General features: G+C 48.1%; 2 annotated features.

Annotated features, from left to right (window-relative positions):
• Positions 3,627-3,676: an enhancer, noted in NCBI's record as "active region_23384". NCBI's record gives its function as "activates an Ori minimal core promoter by ATAC-STARR-seq in GM12878 lymphoblastoid cells {active_cell/tissue: GM12878}" and the evidence as "EXISTENCE:reporter gene assay evidence [ECO:0000049][PMID:35858748]".
• Positions 3,767-4,086: an enhancer, noted in NCBI's record as "active region_23383". NCBI's record gives its function as "activates an Ori minimal core promoter by ATAC-STARR-seq in GM12878 lymphoblastoid cells {active_cell/tissue: GM12878}" and the evidence as "EXISTENCE:reporter gene assay evidence [ECO:0000049][PMID:35858748]".

Genomic DNA, 20,194 nt, shown 5'->3' with positions numbered 1-20,194 from the left:
AGATTAGAAGCAACTCAAATGTTGCTCAATGGGTAAGTAAACTGTGGTTTGTCTACTAGACCACCACCAGAAACCTACTCAGCAGTAAAATGGTACTCACCACTGATACATGGAACAACTGAGTGAAAGAAGCCAGTCTCAAAAGGTTATGTGTTGTATGATTCCATTTACACAGCATTCTTGAAAGACAAAGCTAGGGCGATGAAGAGCAGACCAGCGGTTGCCAGGAGTCAGGGCTGGGAGAAGGGCGTGACTATCAAGGGCAATTCGAGGTAGTTTTTTGGACAGATGGAACTGATTTATATCCTAATTGCAATGGTGGTTACACAAATCTACATATACGTTAACATTTGTAGAACTGGCCGGGCACAGCAGCTCACACCTCTAATCCCAGGCTTTGTGAGGCCAAGGTGGGTGGATCACTTGAGCCCAGGAGTTTGAGACCAGCCTGGGCAACATAGTGAGACCCTATCTCTACAAAAAGTACAAAAATTACCTGGGCATGGTGGCAATCACCTGTAATCTCAGCTACTCGGGAGGCTGAGGTGGAGGATTGCTTGAGCCCAGGAGGCGAAGTTTGCACTGAGCTAAGATTGCACCACTGCAGCAAGGCTCTTCAAAAAAAAAAAAAAAAAAATGTAACACACACACAAGTCAATTTTACTGCATGTTAATTGTCAAAATAAGAAAAACAAGTCATCAGTGGTATTGTCATTCCGACTCAGCCACTCACTCCCAGCCTCTCTTTCCTCCCTTTTCCTCATTCTCTGCAACCAGAAACTCCTTAAAGAATAGGCACTTCTACCCCCCAAATATTTGAAGACGTCCTTAATAACTTGGCTTTGTTACTTTTTTTTTTTTTTTTGAGATGGAGTGTCGCTCTGTCACGCAGGCTGGAGTGCAGTGGCGCAATGCACGATCTCGGCTCACTGCAACCTCTGCCTCCCAGGCTCAAGTGATTCTCCTGACTCAGCCTCCCATATGGCTGCAATTACAGGCGTGAGCCACCACACCTGGCTAATTTTTGTATTTTTAGTAGAGACGGGGTTTCACCATGGTCAGGCTGGTCTCAAACTCCTGACCTTGTGATCTGCCCGCCTTGGCCTCCCAAAAGTGCTGGGATTACAGGCGTGAGCCACCATGCCCGGCTGGCTTTGTTACTCTTAATACAAAGGTAATTTTTTTGGGGGGAAGAAGTTAAGGGAGGGAGAAATCATAAAAGAAACATGTGATGTAGAAACAAACGCCCTCAGGAATCCCACCCTCCAGAATGAGCTGCTTTGGAGGAGCTTCCACCATGACCATTTCAAAGCAATTTTATGCAGCTCTTTCCTCACAAGGTTTAGAACTCATAGGGTCGGATTTACTCCAATGGATTCTTCAGGTAAACGAGGAGGGCCTGGGGGACCATGACCTTAAAGGGTTGACATCTGGGACGCCAGCCCATCCTCACATCAAGTAACAGCATTTCAAGGTTGGATGGAGTCTTGGGGTAATCTAGTTCATCACAGGCCATGCAGTTCCTTCCTCTCTCTCTCTGTCACCGCCCCCAGGGAGGCACTGTCTCTCACGGTAGCATCTTCCCCTCAGCCTCCCTCCTGCTCTGCACAACGGCTGCTACATCCCATCAGCCAAATGCATTTGAGATCACTGGTTCAATCATCCAGTCAACGTTTGACAAATCATTCATTCATTTGTTCCTTCCTTCCTTCCTTCCTTCAAAAGTACTTACTGAACACTTACTATGTGCCAGGCACTGGGCTAAGTTGCAGGAATATCTCGGTGAACAAGATAGACACGGTTCCTGCTTACATTCCTTTCAGAGACAGATACCATAAATTCTAACACACATTTCCATAACAACTGTGCTAGAGCCTGTAAGACAGAGTTACATGGCGTGGTGAGACTGAATCTGGCCAGGTCAGGCTTCTCTGAGGAAAGAGCTATTAATCTGGGCAGGAGTTGGCCAAGTTCAGCGCAGAGGGAAGGGCATTTGAGACAGATGGAACTGCGTATGCAAGGGCCCGAGAGGTCAGGGTGGCTCGACCTCTGACCAAGCCATTGCTAGTGGGATTGCAGAATGCAATTGTGGGGACACAGCAGTGGACAGGGCACAGTGAAAGTTCTCCAGGGAAATGTTCTGGGGACTCTTGCCACTGGCCTTGAGCCTTTCTTTCCTGTTCCCTGGTGGGTCCTTCATCTGAAACAGAACATTTTCCGTAGAGGCTCAGAGTATGGGATCTGGAGTCAGACTGTTATAAACCATCTCATCTGGGCTCCATCACTGACTATGTGTGTGCAAATGGCAGCAACTTAATCTCCCCAGGTCTCATTTTTCCCACCTGTAAAATGGGTATGAAACTATAACATGCGTTGTTGTGAGGATTAAGGGAGATAATCCACATAAAGTCATGACCACAATGCCTGGTACATCAGCAGTGCTCCATGCATGGTAGCTAGTGTTGTTATTATTGTTCTTATTAATATTTTCAGAGGCACCAGGGTCCTTGACCCTGGAGGTGCAGTCTCTTTATGGCTAAATATGGAGTTAACACAGAGCCAGGGAGGGTCTCCCAGCCCCTGGATTCCTAGAGACAAAAGTCTGGGCAATTACTCGATTGGAACATTCCATGAATCCATCAAGTAAGTTTTGGAAGTGGACTTGTGTTTGTTAGTGACACAGACAGAAGAGTGGAGGACAGCTAAGACCCAAGAAGATTTCTTAGATGACAGATGTGTGCTGCTAGTTGACATCGGCTCCCACTCCCCACCCCGCCTTCCACCCCAAAAACTGGACTCTCTTCCAAAGGATTCCAGCGATGCTCTCGGTAAGGAGAACCCCACTAAGTATTCTCTGGGCTGAGGAGTCACGGGTTCTGCCTTCCCAGAAAAGCACCTTTGCTCCACTGGGAGAATGCCTTTGGACTGATAAAGACTCTCTGAGTCCAGTTATGGGTAGGAATACTGCAAGGAGGTGAAGCTATTTTTTGCCACATGCTCTATCTCTCCAGCAGGCACAGTGACATTGCCCAGGATCCAAATAGCCCTAGCTGTAGAAGGTCATGGAGTTGAAGGCTAGAAGGCTTGGCTCTTCCAGAGCCAGGGTGGGGGGTGGGGGGACTATTTGCATCACCACTTGGGGGAGTCCTAAGACCTTTAGCTGTCCCCCCACCTTCCGTCCCCTCGCCCCAGCCTCAACCCACTGTCCACAGGACTCCTGTGGAACCCATTCCCCCCTGGGCCCAGAGTCTGGTGGCAACTGTTTATTTTTAGCCTTTGATTCCCCAAGAATGCAAGAGTGGGTGCTTGTGGAGCAGGGGAGGGAGGAGGGAGGAGGAAGAGGAACTTCAGGGCTTGGAGGGCCAAGGAGGACATAGCCCAGCCCAAGCCCAATTTCAACCCTGTGACAGCCTGTGGCAGGGTCAGGGCCAAGTCCTCGCCCTTCTTGGCCCACCCAGCTCAGGACCAGGTTGGGCTTATGCCTCCCTGTTCCCCTTTTCTTCTTCTCTGAAGGCCCTAGAGACTCATGGGCTTTCCGTTCCTCTTTTGAGCCACCCCCATGCTCTCAGTCCTCTGGAGTTCTCATTCTCAGCCACAGTGGGTGCATCACAGGACTCCTCAACACTTCCCTTCCTCCTGCCTCTGAAAAGACATCTCCCCAGCCCATCTCCTTTTGCCTGCCTGGCACTATAGTAGGCACTTAATACATATGGGTAGACAGAGGCTGTGTTTCATTGCTTCTTCCCATAGGCAGAAGGCCTGAATAATGGAAGAACCAATAAGAGGAAGTTACAAAGGTTTAGAAACTCTTACCAAACCCTTAAGTCATTGTCCCTGACTGCCTGTTTCCTGAGAAGTTCCCTGGCACCCCCAGGGCTCATCTTTGCCTCTGTGATCCTGAAGGAGATGCATTTATTCTTCCTTCCTCTTCCATTCTACCTTCAGCCTTTCCTTGGTCCTTCTCTCCAGGATACCTAGGCCCTGCCCCACAGCCTACATGAGAGTCTGCCAAAAGGGAAATGGGCAGGTCGTGCTGGCTGAAATCCTGGCTCCAAGACACACGAGCCGCGTGACCTAGGGCAAGCTGCCCTGGCCCCTGCAAGAGATCATACAGCTCTCTTGGGGGTTGCTGTGAGGTCTTGGAAGAATGTGCATAAAATGGCTGGCAAACAGTAGGTGCACAATGAGTGGTTGTTATTGTTATCATTTAATAAAGAGTGCAGAAAAACAAGCCTTCTTTTTTAACATCTACTTTCACTCTATACCTGATCATTCTTCATGTTGGTATCATGCCTTAATATGTTACAAAGCACTTTCTCCTCCATTAGCTCAGCTGATCTCCACACAACACCTTGAGAAGGGCCAAGTCATTGTTGTGGGATTTTTGTCCCCACTATACCGATAAAGATATTCAGGCTCCAGGGAGATGTAGAACTGTCTTGCTCATCATTGTGTGGACAGCACCTAAAGCAGGGCCTGGTCCACCGCAGGTGCTCAAAACAGAACCGAGCAAAATCCTGTTGAAGAAATGGCCTATACAATGTCACCCTACAGCCACCTACCCTTTCCTCATCAGTAAAATGGGAATTAACACTGCAGGACATCAAGTTACGACTCTAGAATTCAGCTACATGTTAACAGGCGGCAGGGGGTGAGGCATGTGTATCCACACCCTCTCCCCTTCTTCCCAGAAGGGAGACTGCCTTGGTCTTTCAGGAGAATAATTGGGAAATGCCTTTGACAGGAAGATGGGTATAGCTCATTCCCTGAAGATCCTCAGAACAGACCATCCCTGTCCTTGCGTCCTGGTATTTTGGTTTCTTCAGCTGGGAGCTGAATTTACGAGAGAGAAGAGGGGCCTGAGTGTGTGCAGTCATGGGAAGCAAATTCCAAGGAAGAGGGAAGGGTTCCAGAGTAGAAATTATGATTCCCTCTAATATTGACACCTTGGGGAAAAAGATTCTGTTGCATTTGGAAGAGATGGGGTGCGGTGAATGAAAATTTAAGGGAAAATTAAACTATGTGCAATCTCTTTTTAGGTGAAAAATAATTTCAGTAATTTAGGGACATAAAAATCCATTATGTATAAGTTGATTTTCTCTGCAAGTTATCATAATCAGTATATTACATTTCAAAGTGTAATACTTCAGGCAATAATTATAAATCTGTGGTTTACTTTTAATTTGGTGATTTAAAAAAAACAAATGGAGCTATAGCTATTAAATTTTAGGGAGTCTCTTCAGTTTGCCTGTTGATTAAAAGCAGAGGTCACCCACGCTTGACTTCAGTAAAGCCTCTAACATTTTGAGCGCTTGGGGTTTAAACAGAGATCATACATCTTTAGGAAAGTTGCTGAAACTATAGGAGGGAAAATCCCCAACTCACTGATAACAACATTTGTCTCTTGGAATTTACGTCACCCTTCTAAATGTACACTTTATTTGTTAGAGACCATAAATCCTATTTTCCCTTAAAATAATTTGCAATGCTTTTATATTCTTGGAATTCGTCTCATTATATTACAGAAAGGAAAAATGGAAGAAATAATGATTAAAGCTGATATTTTTTGAGCACCTACTATGGACGATACTGTTTGAAGGACTTTCCATGCACGCATTTATTTAATTCTTAAAACAGTTCCCCAGTTCCTCATAACATAGGTACCATTATTATCCCCATTGGAGGAAGTGATGTGACTTGCCTAATGTCCCATGGCTACTAAGGGAAGAATCAGGATTTGTGTCCCCGTTGAAAGCAAAGTGGTGGTGAGCTAGGGTGGACATTAGGCACTGGTCAGCCCTAATGTTACCTCTCCAGAGTGAACTGGAGCAAACCACCCTCCTCCAGCTGCGCTGTCCCATGGAACCATGTGGAACCCTCTCGTTCCCCGGATCCAGCCCCAAAGGGAACATTTTTGTGACTTAGGTAACTAATGAAAGCATACCAATGCTCCTTAAATATTGCTTTAGATTTTTGAACTCAGAGCAATTTTAAATGCCTTAAACTTTCATTTTAAAAGGATTCATTCCTTAAGACTTTTTTTAGATTAAGAGGTCACAGGGGCAAGAAAAAGCCAATTTCCAACTCACTCCCAATTCCATATTTTGCAATCATGCTCTAAGGAGTCTGTCTGGGGCCTTGTGAGGAAGCTGAACGTTAAGATTACATTCTGGTCCTTCCCATTCATTTGTTTCTTCAACCATCCTTATTAAGCACAAGACACTGCAAAAGGTGTTGGGCACACCAGTGAGAACAAGGCTCTGTCCTCATTCAGCTTACCTTCCAGGAGTAGGTGACAACTGGCAATAAGAAGTAAACAAAGAGAGAGATTCAACTGTGGTGACTGCAGAAATGCCCTGAAGGAAATCCCCTGTTTCACAGTCTGGCAGTGCCCATGCTGGTCAAGCTCCCGGGCACTGGGGCCTGGGGAGTGGAGTAGGCAGGAACACACCCACCAACATCAAGATCGAAAGTTTGTAAGAGGAAGCCCCCAGGAACGGGAGCACTGAGTTCTCAGTCTTGCAACAACAGCAACTCCCCAGGCCACAGAGAGGTCGCTTCCCCTTGGCGACCAATGCCAGACTGCCCTGCTCCTGGTGCTCAGGAACTGTACTGAGTACCAAGCTGACACCGGCGACAGCCTCACATTCTAAACCTTCCTGTGGCTTCAGTTTTAGACACCACTTCAGGAGAGCAAAGTATACCTAACAGTGTTTGGACAACTTATGTTTTCTTATTTTTTTATTTTTTATTTTTTTTTGGAGACGGAGTCTTGCTATGTCACCCAGGCTGGAGTGTAATGGCACAATCTCAGCTCACTGCAACCTCCACCTCCCGGGTTCAAGCGATTCTCCTGCCTTAGCCTCCCGAGTAGCTGGGACTACACGTGCACACCACCATACCCAGCTAATTTTTTTTGATAGAGATGGAGTTTCACCACATTCATCAGGCTGGTCTCGAACTGTTGACCTCAGACAATCCACCCACTTTGGCCTCCCAAAGTGCTAGGATTATAGCCATGAGCCACCATGCCCGGCCTTGAATATTTTATCTTTGGGGAGATTTGCTTTTCAGGCTTAATTTCTTTTATGAACCAAAAAAGTTACTAGAATGAAGTGGACACTAACCTTACCCCACACTGCTAACTCCCACCTTCATGCCCAGGACCCAGTGGGAGGATCAGGGTGGAGACTGCCTCCTGTTGTTATTCTGACAATAAGGAATGTCCCAAGAGGCCCCAGGGTTCCTGGAGCCCTTTCCCATCCTGGATGTCAACGAGTCCTCACAACTGGGAGGAGGAGGACATAAGTGCTTACACACAGTTTCAGGACTCCAAACCCAGTGCTCTTTTTACTATCCAAGTTTTTCCCAACCTTCTGTCATCTGAGTCCTCCCCTCCTGTTTTTTGCCATAGCTCTAGACCACTTGTACCATTATTTACTTAATATATGTTTAAAAGTGGTCTATTTTCCCCCTTAGCTTAAATGCCTTAATGAAAAATGAAACTCGATATCACTGCCATAATTGGAAACTTGATATCACTGACCATAAATGGAAGGCAGCCATAAAAATACATGCAATGAAATGTTATCAAATCCCAGCTAGACACTGTTGCCTGCTGAAGGCTCTGAGACTGAGGCTTGCTCTCTCTTTATAGAAAAGGGAGGTTAGTAAATGTCAGAGAGGTGTTGGAGAGTCTAGCACCCATTCAAGGCTTTCTCCTTGAAGAACTGAAGGGGAATTGAGAAAGGGATGAACTTTTCTGCCAGGTGAGTCAACTCTGTCATGCCCATCTTGGACACTGCCCACCAGTAGCACCTGTCTCGCCCTTGGGACAACCTATGGTGCCACACTCCTTTTGGAGAAGGGAGGATTCATCTTTGGTGACTCAGGTCCCATCCAGTAGGTTCCCCCAAGCAGGAGCCCTGTCACCACCCTGACCTGTCTCAGAGGCTGCCCTTTGCAAGTCCTCTTGTCTCTGCCTTCCCCACTGTGAGGTCCCAAGTTCCATCCCCGCCTACTCTTGTTCTAGCACAGGTCTCTTCTCCAACCCACAGCCTGTAAGGTGTCAAGGTTCTGCTGCACTGCTGCAATCCCCTCCCAAATGGGCCCTCTGCTTCCCATTTCTCCCCATTCAGCATATTGTCCAGGCCCAGCCCAGGTGCCCTTCGAAAGCCCAGTTCTGATTATGTAGCTTTGCTGCTAAAAAAAAACCCTCAGCCTCTCCTACCCTCAGGATTACATGCTTCCTCCTTCTGGGACCTCCGAGGCCCCACCTGCTCTGCACACACCCGACCTGCACGCACCTGCCCTGCACACGCCTGCCCTGCCATACCCGCCCTACACACACCTGCCCTGCCCCTGCCCCTCCCAGCCTCATTCCTCACTTCACTCCTCCAGCTCTTGCATCTCGCAAGGTCGGACTTCCTCCATTTCCTCATCAGGCTCCCCCGACTTGGGAATTTCATAAACAATGCTCCCTCTCCTTGAAGCATAGCTTCTCACCTCACCCACACATTCTTCCTGTCTCAGCTGAAATGTCAATCTCTCCTGGCAGCCTCTCTCCCCATGACCTGTGTTTCTCCCATGCCTCCCCTCTATTGGAACTGCCTGCGACCATTTGCCAGTCTCTGGCACAGTGCCTAGCACGTGGCCAGGACTGTGTGGAGCCGCAGCAATGCTTGTTGATTGAATGGAAGGTTATTCATTCCCTGCACCTACCAGTCTATACGCCTACTTTCTAACTGCCCTGCTGTTTTTCTTGACTGAACTAATTTCTACCCTTCCCCTCTCATGATTTTCCAAGTCAATTCCCACCCCACCCATGAAGCCACCCCGGATCACTCCAGCCCACAGACTCTACCTCCCACTGAGCCACACAGCATCTGGTTGTTTATTGAATGAATGAATGGGACAGTGCACATAACAAATGGGGCAAAGTCAGAAAATAATGTCATTTCAAACTCAAACTCACTGCAATGGCTTCTGCTTTCTAAGAGGGAAGGCATAATTCCAATAGAAGGAAAAACAAATCTCCATACTATCTCCTTCCTTGGAGAGGCTGATAGGAGAAAGAGATAAAATGGATTAAAATTACAAAGCTGTTTTTGTTTTTTCTTTCCAGTAAAAGGTGAGATCCTAAGAAGAAAGTGTCTTTCAAAAAAGTATTTGGCTCTTTGAGAATAAATAATAGTTGCACATGGTACAAAATTCAAAAGGCAGATGGCCCTTCCTTAGCACATCACATTAATGAGTCTTAGAATGTGCAAGGAGTTCTTTGGAAATGGGAATGGAAAATCCATTGCTCCGAATGATACCTTGAGGGAAACTGCATTCCTGGGGGTGGACCTCAAATATGGACTCTAAGGGCCAGGAGACCAGGCATCCAAATGGAGAGGTAGGGGCCAGGGATGGTGGCCCACACCTATAATCCCAGCACTTTGGGAGGTTGAGGTGGGAGGATCTTTTGAGCCCAGGAGGTTGAGGCTTTAGTGAGCTATGATCATGTGATTGCTCCACTGCACTCCTTCACGGGCGACTGAGTGAAATCCTTTCTCTATAAACAAAACCAAAACCAAACAAGAATAAATGGAGAGCTGAGGTCTGTGAAGAGAGGTGGCCAAAGGACTTGGTGGCATAAGGAACTCCAGGCCTGGGGCTGGCCAGGATTTCGGTTATCAATGCTTGCCTTATTGACCACACCAAACCACTGGCAGAGTTGGCTACACACAAAACCTCTGGAGGGAGAGTTTTAGAGGAAAACAAGGAAAGACAGTTCCCATTACCCTGGAATTGAAACAGCCTCATGGAAGGCAGGAACCCAAGGTCTGGGGACATGGGAAAGGCAGAGGCCCCTGGGAACATGAGGAAACCTTTGGAGGGCATTAGACCGCCCACATGAGGAGGGATATGGCACTAGCCAATTTTATTTAATCTCTGAGGACGTGTGACCTGAGCTAACACTGGCGTTACAAGGAGCCTTGCTGCCTACCAGTGTTTTCTTGGTTGATTATCACTCTGCATTCCTAATGAGACCAGAGGCTAAGGCCAGGGACTGGGTATCATTTCTTCTTGTTCCATCCCATCAACACCACCTGCCCACCCACCCACCCAATAATAGTGGGCTCAGCACTGAATCCATTTGTTAGAACTTTTTTTATTTTGTAACATACACATAACATAAAAACTATAGTCATAACCATTTTTAACTGTACAGTCCAATGGTGATAAACACGTTCATAATATTGTGCAACCATCACCACCATCTCCATTGACTCTTTCCATCCTATAAAACTGAAGCTCGGTGCCCAATGAACAATATCCCCCCTAATTCTCCCCTACTCCTAGCCCCTGGCAACCGCCATTCTACTTTTTTTTTTTTCTTTTGTGACAGGGTCTTGCTCTGTCTCCCAGGCTGGAGTGCAGTGGCATAATCACTGCTCACTGCAGCCTCAACCTCCTGTGCTCAAGCAAGCCTCCCATCTCAACCCTGAGAAACTAGGACTACAAGCATGTGTCACCATGCCCGGCTAATTTTTTCAATTTTTTGTAGAGACGGGGTCTCACTATGTTGCCCTGGCTGGTCTCCAACTCCTGGACTCAAGTGACCCATCCCCCTCGGCCTCCCAAAGTGCTGGGGTTACAGACGTGAGCCACCACACCTAGCCCATTCTACTTTCTGGCTCAAGGACTTTGGCCACTCTGAGTACCTCACATAAGTGGAATCATACAGTGTTTGTCTTTCTTTTTTTTTTAATTTTTTTTTCCCCAAGATGGAATCTTGCTTTGTCACCCAGGCTGGAGTGCAGTGGTGTGATCTTGGCTTACTGCAAATTCTGCCTTCTGGGTTCAAGCGATTCTCCTGCCTCAGCCTCCCGAGTAGCTGGGACTACAGGCACGCACCACCATGCCCAGCTAATTTTTGTATTTTTAGTAGAGATGGGGTTTCACCATGTTGGCCAGGCTGGTCTTGAACTCCTGACCTTGTGATCTGCCCTCCTCAGCCTCCCAAAGTGCTGGGATCACAGGCATGAGCCACCGTGCCCGGCCCAGTGTTTGTCTTTTTGTGACTGGCTCAGCATAATGTCCTCAAGGTTCATCTACATTACAGCGTGTGTCAGAACATCCTTCCTTTTTAAGGCTGAAAAATATTCCATTGTATGTGCATGCCACATGTTGCTTATCCATTCATCCATCAACGGGCACTTGGATTGTTTCCATGTTTTCGCTATTGTGAATACTGCTACTAGAAACCTGGGTATACAAGTGTCTCTTAGAGACTGCTTTCTACTCTTTTGAGTATACACCCAGAAGTGGAACTGCTGGATCCTATGGCAATTTTATTTTTAACTTTTTGAGTAACTTCCATATTATTCCACAGGAGCTGCACCATTGTATTTTCCTATCAACAGTGTACAAGGGGTTCCAATTTCTCCATATCCTTGACAACACTATTTTATGGGGGTTTTGTTTCTCTGTTTTATAGTAGCCGTACTAATGGGTGTGAGGTGTATCTCATTGCGGTTTTGATTTGCATTTCCCTAATGATTTGTGATGCTGAGCTTCTTTTCATGTGTTTATTGGCTATGTGTGTATCTTTTTTTTGGAGAAGTGTCTATTTGGACCCTTTGCACATTTTTTTTTGAGACAGAGTCTCACTCTGTTACCCAGGCTGGAGTGCACTTGAATGATCTCAGCTCACTGCAGCCTCTGCCTCCCAGGTTCAAGTGATTCTCCTGCCTCAGCCTCCCAAGCAGCTGGGAATACAGGCACACACCACCGTGCCCAGCTACTTTTTTGTATTTTTAGTAGAGACGGGGTTTCATCATGTTGGCCAGGCTGGTCTCAAATTCCTGGCCTCAAGTGATCCACCCGCCTCCATCTCCCAATGTTCTGGGATTACAGGTGTGAGCCACTGCGCCTGGCTTCTTTGCTTATTTTTAAATTGGGCTGTTTGTTTTTTCCTTGTTGAGTTTTAGGAGTTCTCTATATACCCTAGATATTAATCCCTTATCAAATGTATGACTTACAAATATTTTCTCCTAATCTGTGGGTTGCTTTCTTATCTGCTGATAGTGTCTTTTGGTGCATAAAATTTAAAGATTTTCATGTAGTCCTATATGTATATTTTTTCTTTTGTTACCAGAGCCTTTAGTGTCATAGCCAAGAAATAACTGCCAAATCTAATGTCACGAAGCTTAATACTGAACCCATTTTGGTGGCCGTCCACAACATCCTCGTTGAGAGAAGGACTATGGCTGAATGACTAATAACTACCCCCTCTATCCAACACACACACACACACACACACACACACACACACACACAGAGAGACACACACAGCTCTTGGAAATAGCCCACAGGAGGGAGAATGTACTATCTGGGCTGCCAAGAGCCCTGGGTTCTAGCCTGTCCCCTACGACCAGTGTACCACTTTGGGCAACCTTGGGGCAAAGCCCTTGACTAATCCAGTTTCTGTTTCCCTCCACACCCTTCAATCAACAGCTCAAGGAACGACAAAGCAATCTTTATGGCTGTCATATTGGCTGGATTATAGGACTACAAATAAGGCCGTTTCTAAATAATTCCCAAACTGTTCAGATATGAAGGGTGTAATGGGCAGAGACTGGCATCGGCTGGGGAGCCGGACAAAGCAAGATTGCCAGAGGCCTTGGTAACTGCTTATGGTGGCTACACTGGCCTGGAACCAGTGCCAAGTCAAATATATGTACAAAGAGGAGGCTCAAATTCCCCTTCTCAGGCCAGCCCTGGCAGGCTTGCTGCCTCCACTGGAAAGATAGAAAGCAAAGGCACAGAGAGGTTAATGTAGCCACGTGAGCATCTATAGGGTAATCAAGAATTAACCCCATTAGGGCAACACCCAATTCCTAACTTCTTACAGGCTCTAAGTTACTGAATTTCTGCCAAATTGAGGTTTTCATTACCTTCCACAGAAAATGATTCTCCAAATGACATCATTATTATAATAACAGGTGGGGCTCTCCCTCTCCCTCTCCCTCTCCCTCTCCCCACGGTCTCCCTCTCCCTCTCTTTCCATGGTCTCCCCCTGATGCCGAGCCAAAGCTGGACTGTACTGCTGCCATCTTGGCTCACTGCAACCTCCCTGCCTGATTCTCCTGCCTCAGCCTGCCGAGTGCCTGCGATTGCAGGCGCGCGCCGCCACGCCTGACTGGTTTTCGTATTTTTTTGGTGGAGACGGGGTTTCGCCGTGTTGGCCGGGCTGGTCTCCAGCTCCTAACCGCGAGTGATCCGCCAGCCTCGGCCTCCCGAGGTGCCGGGATGGCAGACAGAGTCGTGTTCACTCAGTGCTCAATGGTGCCCAAGCTGGAGTGCAGTGGCGTGATCTCGGCTGGCTACAACCTCCACCTCCCAGCCGCCTGCCTTGGCCCCACAAAGTGCCGAGATTGCAGCCTCTGCCCGGCCGCCACCCCGTCTGGGAAGTGAGGAGTGTCTCTGCCTGGCCGCCCATCGTCTGGGATGTGAGGAGCCTCTCTGCCTGGCTGCCCAGTCTGGAAAGTGAGGAGCGTCTCTGCCCGGCCGCCATCCCATCTAGGAAGTGAGGAGCGTCTCTGCCCGGCCACCCATCGTCTGAGATGTGGGGAGCGCCTCTGCCCTGTCGCCCCGTCCGGGATGTGAGGAGCGTCTCTGCCCGGCCGCCCCGTCTGAGAAGTGAGGAGACCCTCTGCCTGGCAACCGCCCCGTCTGAGAAGTGAGGAGCCCCTCCGCCCGGCAGCCACTCCGTCTGGGAAGTGAGGAGTGTCTCCGCCCGGCAGCCACCCCGTCTGGGAGGGAGGTGGGGGGGTCAGCCCCCCGCCCGGCCAGCCGCCCCGTCCAGGAGGTGAGGGGCGCCTCTGCCCGGCCGCCCCTACTGGGAAGTGAGGAGCCCCTCTGCCCGGCCAGCCGCCCCATCCAGGAAGGATGTGGGGGGGTCAGCCCCCCGCCCGGCCAGCCGCCCCATCCGGGAGGTGAGGGGCGCCTCTGCCCGGCCGCCCCTACTGGGAAGAGAGGAGCCCCTCTGCCCAGCCAGCCGCCCCGTCCGGGAGGGAGGTGGGGGGTCAGCCCCTGGCCCGGCCAGCCGCCCCGTCCAGGAGGGAGGTGGGGGGGTAGCCCCCCGCCCGGCCAGCCGCCCCATCCGGGAGGTGAGGGGCGCCTCTGCCCGGCCTCCCCTACTGGGAAGAGAGGGGCGCCTCTGCCTGGCCGCCCCTACTGGGAAGAGAGGAGCCCCTCTGCCCGGCCAGCCACCCCATCCGGGAGGGAGGTGGGGGGGGTCAGCCCCCCGCCCGGCCAGCCGCCCCGTCCGGGAGGTGAGGGGCGCCTCTGCCCGGCTGCCCCTACTGGGAAGTGAGGAGCCCCTCTGCCCGGCCACCACCCCGTCTGGGAGATGTACTCAACAGCTCATTGAGAACGGGCCATGATGACAATGTGGAATAGAAAGGGGGGAAAGGTGGGGAAAAGATTGAGAAATCGGATGGTTGCCATGTCTGTGTAGAAAGAGGTAGACATGGGAGACTTTTCATTTTGTTCTGTACTAAGAAAAATTCTTCTGCCTTGGGATCCTGTTGATCTGTGACCTTACCCCCAACCCTGTGCTCTCTGAAACATGTGCTGTGTCCACTCAGGATTGAATGGATTAAGGGTGGTGCAAGATGTGCTTTGTTAAACAGATGCTTGAAGGCAGCATGCTCCTTAAGAGTCATCACCACTCCCTAATCTCAAGTACCCAGGGACACAAACACTGCGGAAGGCCGCAGGGTCCTCTGCCTAGGAAAACCAGAGACCTTTGTTCACTTATCTGCTGACCTTCCCTCCACTATTGTCCTGTGACCCTGCCAAATCCCCCTCTGCGAGAAACACCCAAGAATGATCAATAAAAAAAAAAAAAAGAAAGAAAAAGAAAATTGGAAAGGCTTCAGGATTGTCAGTTAAATATAATTGTTTTTGCCTGGGTCTACTGACAGACAGGTTTACATTGTCTCTATTACTTTTTTTTTTTTTTTTTTTTTTTTTTTTAATTTGTTTTTTGTTTTTGAGCTGGAGTTTTGCTCTCATTGCCCAGGCTGGAGTGCAGTGGTGAGATCTCAGCTCACCACAACTTCCGTCTCCCAGGTTCAAGTGATTCTCCTGCCTCAGCCTTCCGAATAGCTAAACTACAGGTGTATGCCACCATACTTGGCTAATTTTTGTGTTTGTAGTAGAAACAGGATTTCACCATGTTGGCTAGGCTGGTCTCGAACTCCTGACCTCAAGTGATCTGCCCACCTTGGCCTCCCAAAGTGCTGGGATTACAGGCATGGGCCACCGTGCCCAGCCTATTACATGTTTTAAGGTCATAAAACTGCTACTTCTGGAATATTTCTTAAACTTGCTTGATTTGTCTAAATTGAGCTAAAGCTGTAAGGTCTGGCTGCTGGGCTCCCTGAAACCTTGCACATATCTTACTGTATGACTGTATTTCGTTTTGAGTCTCTGGATTCTGGGGTTTGGACAGATGACCATAGTGAGGCCTGCAGAAATATATGCATGTCCTCAGTGTTTGGACTGCCAGCTGCAAGGCAGAGCCAAACCCAATATGGCCCCATCATCCCTGGCTCAGCTGTGCTACCTGGCCATGCTGGAAGGGGTTTGATCTTCCAGGAATTTGCTTCACAGCTCTTTCCTGTCCCAAGCTCTATGCCTGATGTGTAAATTCAGGACCCAAAAGGGCACAAAAAAGCAATAACTACTAAATATAAAGAAAACAACTCTGTATACAGCATGTATAAAGAAAAGCAAGATATATTTGGGGAGATAAAAGTTGTAAAGGCATTAAGATGTGTGTTTGTTGAGAAAAAATAAATTTGTGCATTTAAGAAGTTAAAAAAAAAAATAACAGGTGGGACTGTTGGGGCTTCTAGGAAATTAGCTAGCCATCAGCTTGCTACCTTAGATTCTTGGCATTGTTTAATTTAAATGTTTGGTTTCAATTATTTGTGAGCAAACCAGAATGTTCATGGTATATATTAGTCATTGTGCTGGGTCCAGATGTAAATCATGGCCCTGGGAAGCTGGTATGCTGGGAAGAATAACAACAGTCTGTAAGCCTAGCCTGCTGCCCAGCAGGTACAGGTCAACACTTGTCACCTATCCTGACATTCTCCAGGGATAATTTTTTTTAAAAAATGGCTTTCTACAAGATACACTCGTTGAAAAATAAGCCGACTTGTGTTGGTGATAAAAGGGAAGAGGAAGACAAGTCTAAGTGTGTGTTAGTTCTTAAGCCAAAAAACAGAAGTTTCAGATCAACTGAAGAGTGGAAGATTAGACTCAGTGGTGGCTCAGAGCCTAAAAGTGACAGACTCCACCTAATTCCTAACGAGTAATAAGAAAAAGCAATCTATAAAACCATTTCAAGCAATCAACAGCAACACTAATAACAGAAAACACCTCTTTGGTAAGCGAGAGAAGAAACTTCAGAGACATCAAAAAGTGTTTAATGTGTAGCATGAAGACGTAACCCTTAATGGAAATGGGGTTCTGGAGTAAGGCAATTACCTGAACAAAGATTTCCACACATACAAATTTAAGGATCACGAAGGTCTCCAGCTGTCAGTCTGGAGAAGATCAGAGGCCCCCCGGCCTCCTTCCACCAACCTGCTCATCAATTTCACGCCCCTCTCCCAGCCCATCCCAATTGGGACGTCATAGTCGTGTGCCATCTAGTGGTCAATATGATTACTGCATGTAACTGCCTGGGGCTTTCTGTTTTGGTTTTATTAAGCTTTCACTAACTCATTGTTATAATATGTCTGGTGCTGAGAATATAATAGAGAACACGATAGACACGGCCCTTCCTTCAGGAACCTCACAGTATAGCAGGGTGAATTAAACACATAAAATACAATATGAGAGGTACAATCAAGACATATTAAGGGAGGTAAGGGAGCCCTGAGGAAGGACACCTAATCTAGATTTGGTGATTGGAGGAGGCTTCCCAGAGGGAGGGCCATTAATGCTGGGATCTGAAGGATAAGCAGAAGTTTGTTAAGCAAAGGAGGGGAAGGAAACAGACAGCATTTCAGGCAGAAAGGTGAGGTATGCCTAAAAGCCAGGTGTCAAGAGAGCACAACCAGCTCATGTTGGGTGCAAAGCTTTGTTAAGAACTTTGAACTTGGCAGGGTGCGGTGGCTCATGCCTGTAATCCCAGCACATTGGGAGGCTGAGGCAGGTGGATCACCTGAGGTCAGGAGTTTTAGACCAGCCTGGCCAACATGGTGAAACCCTGTTTCTACTAAAAATACAAAAAAAAAAGTTAGGTGTGGTGACAGGTGCCTGCAGTCCCAGCTACTTGGGAGGATGAGGCAGGAGAATTGCTTGAACCTGGGAGGTGGCGGTTGCAGTGAGCTGAGATTGCACCGTTGTACTCCAGCCTGGGTGACAGAGTGAGACTCTGTCTAAAAAAATAATAATAATAACTTTGAACTTCATTCATGGGGCTGTGAGAGCCATTTCTTTTCAGGGACAAATGAAGAAAGCCTATAGAATTTGAATTTCTCCTGGGCCCTGGCTTATACCTCTTACCTCTTAGAGTCCAGACACTCACAACCCACCCCCTGAAGAGTGGAATGATGTTATTCTTTAAATTTTTGTTTTATTCCCAGGCATGAGTTGCTTATCCACATGCCCTTGATCTCTCCTTTCCCTGTGTCAGCAAAGAAGTTTGTCTAGCGTTGTCATCATTTCTGAGCTAGGGCAGAGCTTCAGCTCCTGCAATAATAGATCTGGCAATGCCAAACTCCTTTCTAGCGCCAAAGTCCTTAATGGGGGAGACAGTGGCTACTGTCAGTGTAAGGTCCTGGGGACCTCATGCTTCAGTATCCCCTGGGGTATTTAACAAAGCAGATTCCCAGACCTTCCCATCCTCACTCAGGGGATGTGGGTCCCTGGAATGGGCTCCTGTGCCCTGGTGATCCTGGGGCTCACTTGGGTTAGAAGCACTGGTGTGGCGATTGGGGCACAGGCCCTGGGGTTAGTTCCCTCCTACAACTCTGTCTAGCCCTGCCTCCCACTGTGTGTGACTCAGCTGTTTGGTCTCAGGCCAGTTACTTCATCTCCCTAAGCCACTGGTTTCTATTCTTGAAAATGGGAATAATAATCATAAAACCTACCCAACAGCATTATTGAGAAGATTCGATGAGATTATGTATGTAATGAGGCTGGCACAGAGTCTGGCAAATAGGAAGTACTCATCAAAGCTTAAAGAACATCAACTGTTGTGTCTGGGACACATTACAGTCATAAAGGGGATGGGAGTTAACACCAGGCCATGGGCTTGGATCCTCAGGGGCTGGAATTTAGAGGGGTGGGTTGCCAAGGGGAGGAGAGAAGACCTAGGGGGTCGGATATCTCACTCAGAGAGGTGTTGAGAGCCAGCAAGCCAGAGAGGCAGACTGCCCCTGGACAGCTGGGAGCAGAGGGTTGTAAGTGCACCGCAGAGTGGGTGGAAATGAAATCTTCATGAAATGCTCAGAGAATCTGACAGGAAGCTTCCCTCTGCTAACACTGCTTTTCAATGACTCTTATCGACACAAACCAGCCAAAGCAAAAGAGGGAATTTTGAGTTTATTTAATTGAAAAGGCCAAGGGTAGATATGAATCTGGTGTAAACACTGCCATCAGGAACCAGTCTCCAATTCTCAGCTCTACTTCTGCCCATCTTAGCTTTGTTCTCAGGCTGGCTTGCTCTATGTATTGACAAAAGTCAACCAGCAGCTCTAAGTGTAGTTCTGCAGGTAACAAGCCCAGCCCAGAGACAGCACCTCTCTCCTGATAGCATCAGCAAAAATCTTGAGGCTGACGTTCATTGGCTTAACTTTGGGCCACTTGCCCATCTCTGAACCAATCACTGTGACCAGAAAAATGGAATTTTCTGATTGGCCAGATCTGTTTCTTGTGTTCAATTTTGCATCCAGGGTTGGTTCAGCCCCACCCAAATTACACGGAGTGAGCATAAAGAGTTCCCTAAATAAAAATAAGGGCCCTGTTTCTGGGAGAAGAGATGGAGGACAAGCCAAACAAAACTGAGGCATCCTCAATTTGCCCATGTGTGAGACACCCTCTTGCCATTGGTCCCTGGAGCCAGGCTGTTCTTGGGCGCCTGAACATCCGTTTTCAGTTCTGCTGCAGCCCCCACAGGCTTGGTCCTTGGGAAGGGGAGTCTTCCAGCACTGGGTAGCAGGCAGGAGTCACCTCCCCCACAGAGAGCAGTGACACCACAGATGGTGCTTGCTGAAAAGGCAGTTCTAGGGAGTAGCAGGCACAGGTGGTGCTGCACAAGCCCCTAGCTAGATTCCCCTAATGTCCTTCAAGAGAGGCTGTAAAAGGAGAAAAAGAAAATCAGAGACTTTATGAGGGTAGGGGAATGAGGACAGGCTAAAAGACTACGACTCCTCAACCACGGCGGCTGCCGACCCTGGGGAGCTGATGGCCCTGGACTAGGAGGCGCTAGGGACTATGTCCCTGCTCTGCCACTCTGGCCCTCCCTTCACCCTAGATCATCCCGCTGCACCCCAGCCCATTCTGAACTGTGCATTCCTGTGAGCACGCTCCCTCACTCCCTCACTCTTGGCACACACACACATCTCCCGGCCCTCGCACTCATTCAACCAGCTTAGGGCCTACAGAGGGCCATGCTCCATGCCAGGAGCTACCATGGCTCCCCAGGAAGAGCCTACCTCATGGAACCTCATGGAACACACAATTCAAGAAAGTGCAATGAGGGCCATGTTTTATGAATGCACTCTTTATTTTTATTGCACTTTTATTGCATTAAATCATACATTAAGTGATTCTCCTTGTAAACTATTCCAATCATACATTTACTACTGAAGCCACTTAACTCCCCTCTCCCCAGCCAGGCCCCTCCCTCAAAGTAAGTAGTCTGTTATCCATTTGATGGATAGCTGTTGAAATATTTTTCTACATGTATACATCCTAATATGTTCACATGCAGGAATATATAGCTTTAGTTTTGTTGACATCTTTTGAAGAGGTCTGAAAGGGTATCCAGTGAGAAGTCTCCCTCTTACCTCATCCCTCAGCTGTCCCTTCCTCTCCCAGAGCAGCCAGCCAGGTCACCAGTTTCCAGCATTTCCTTCCAGCTAGGCTAGGCCAGGAGTCAGCAAACTTTGTCTGTAAA

Source organism: Homo sapiens, chromosome 5 (assembly GCF_000001405.40).
Source record: "Homo sapiens chromosome 5, GRCh38.p14 Primary Assembly".
Lineage (NCBI taxonomy): Eukaryota > Metazoa > Chordata > Mammalia > Primates > Hominidae > Homo > Homo sapiens.
This window is presented reverse-complemented; position numbering and strand designations above follow the sequence as displayed.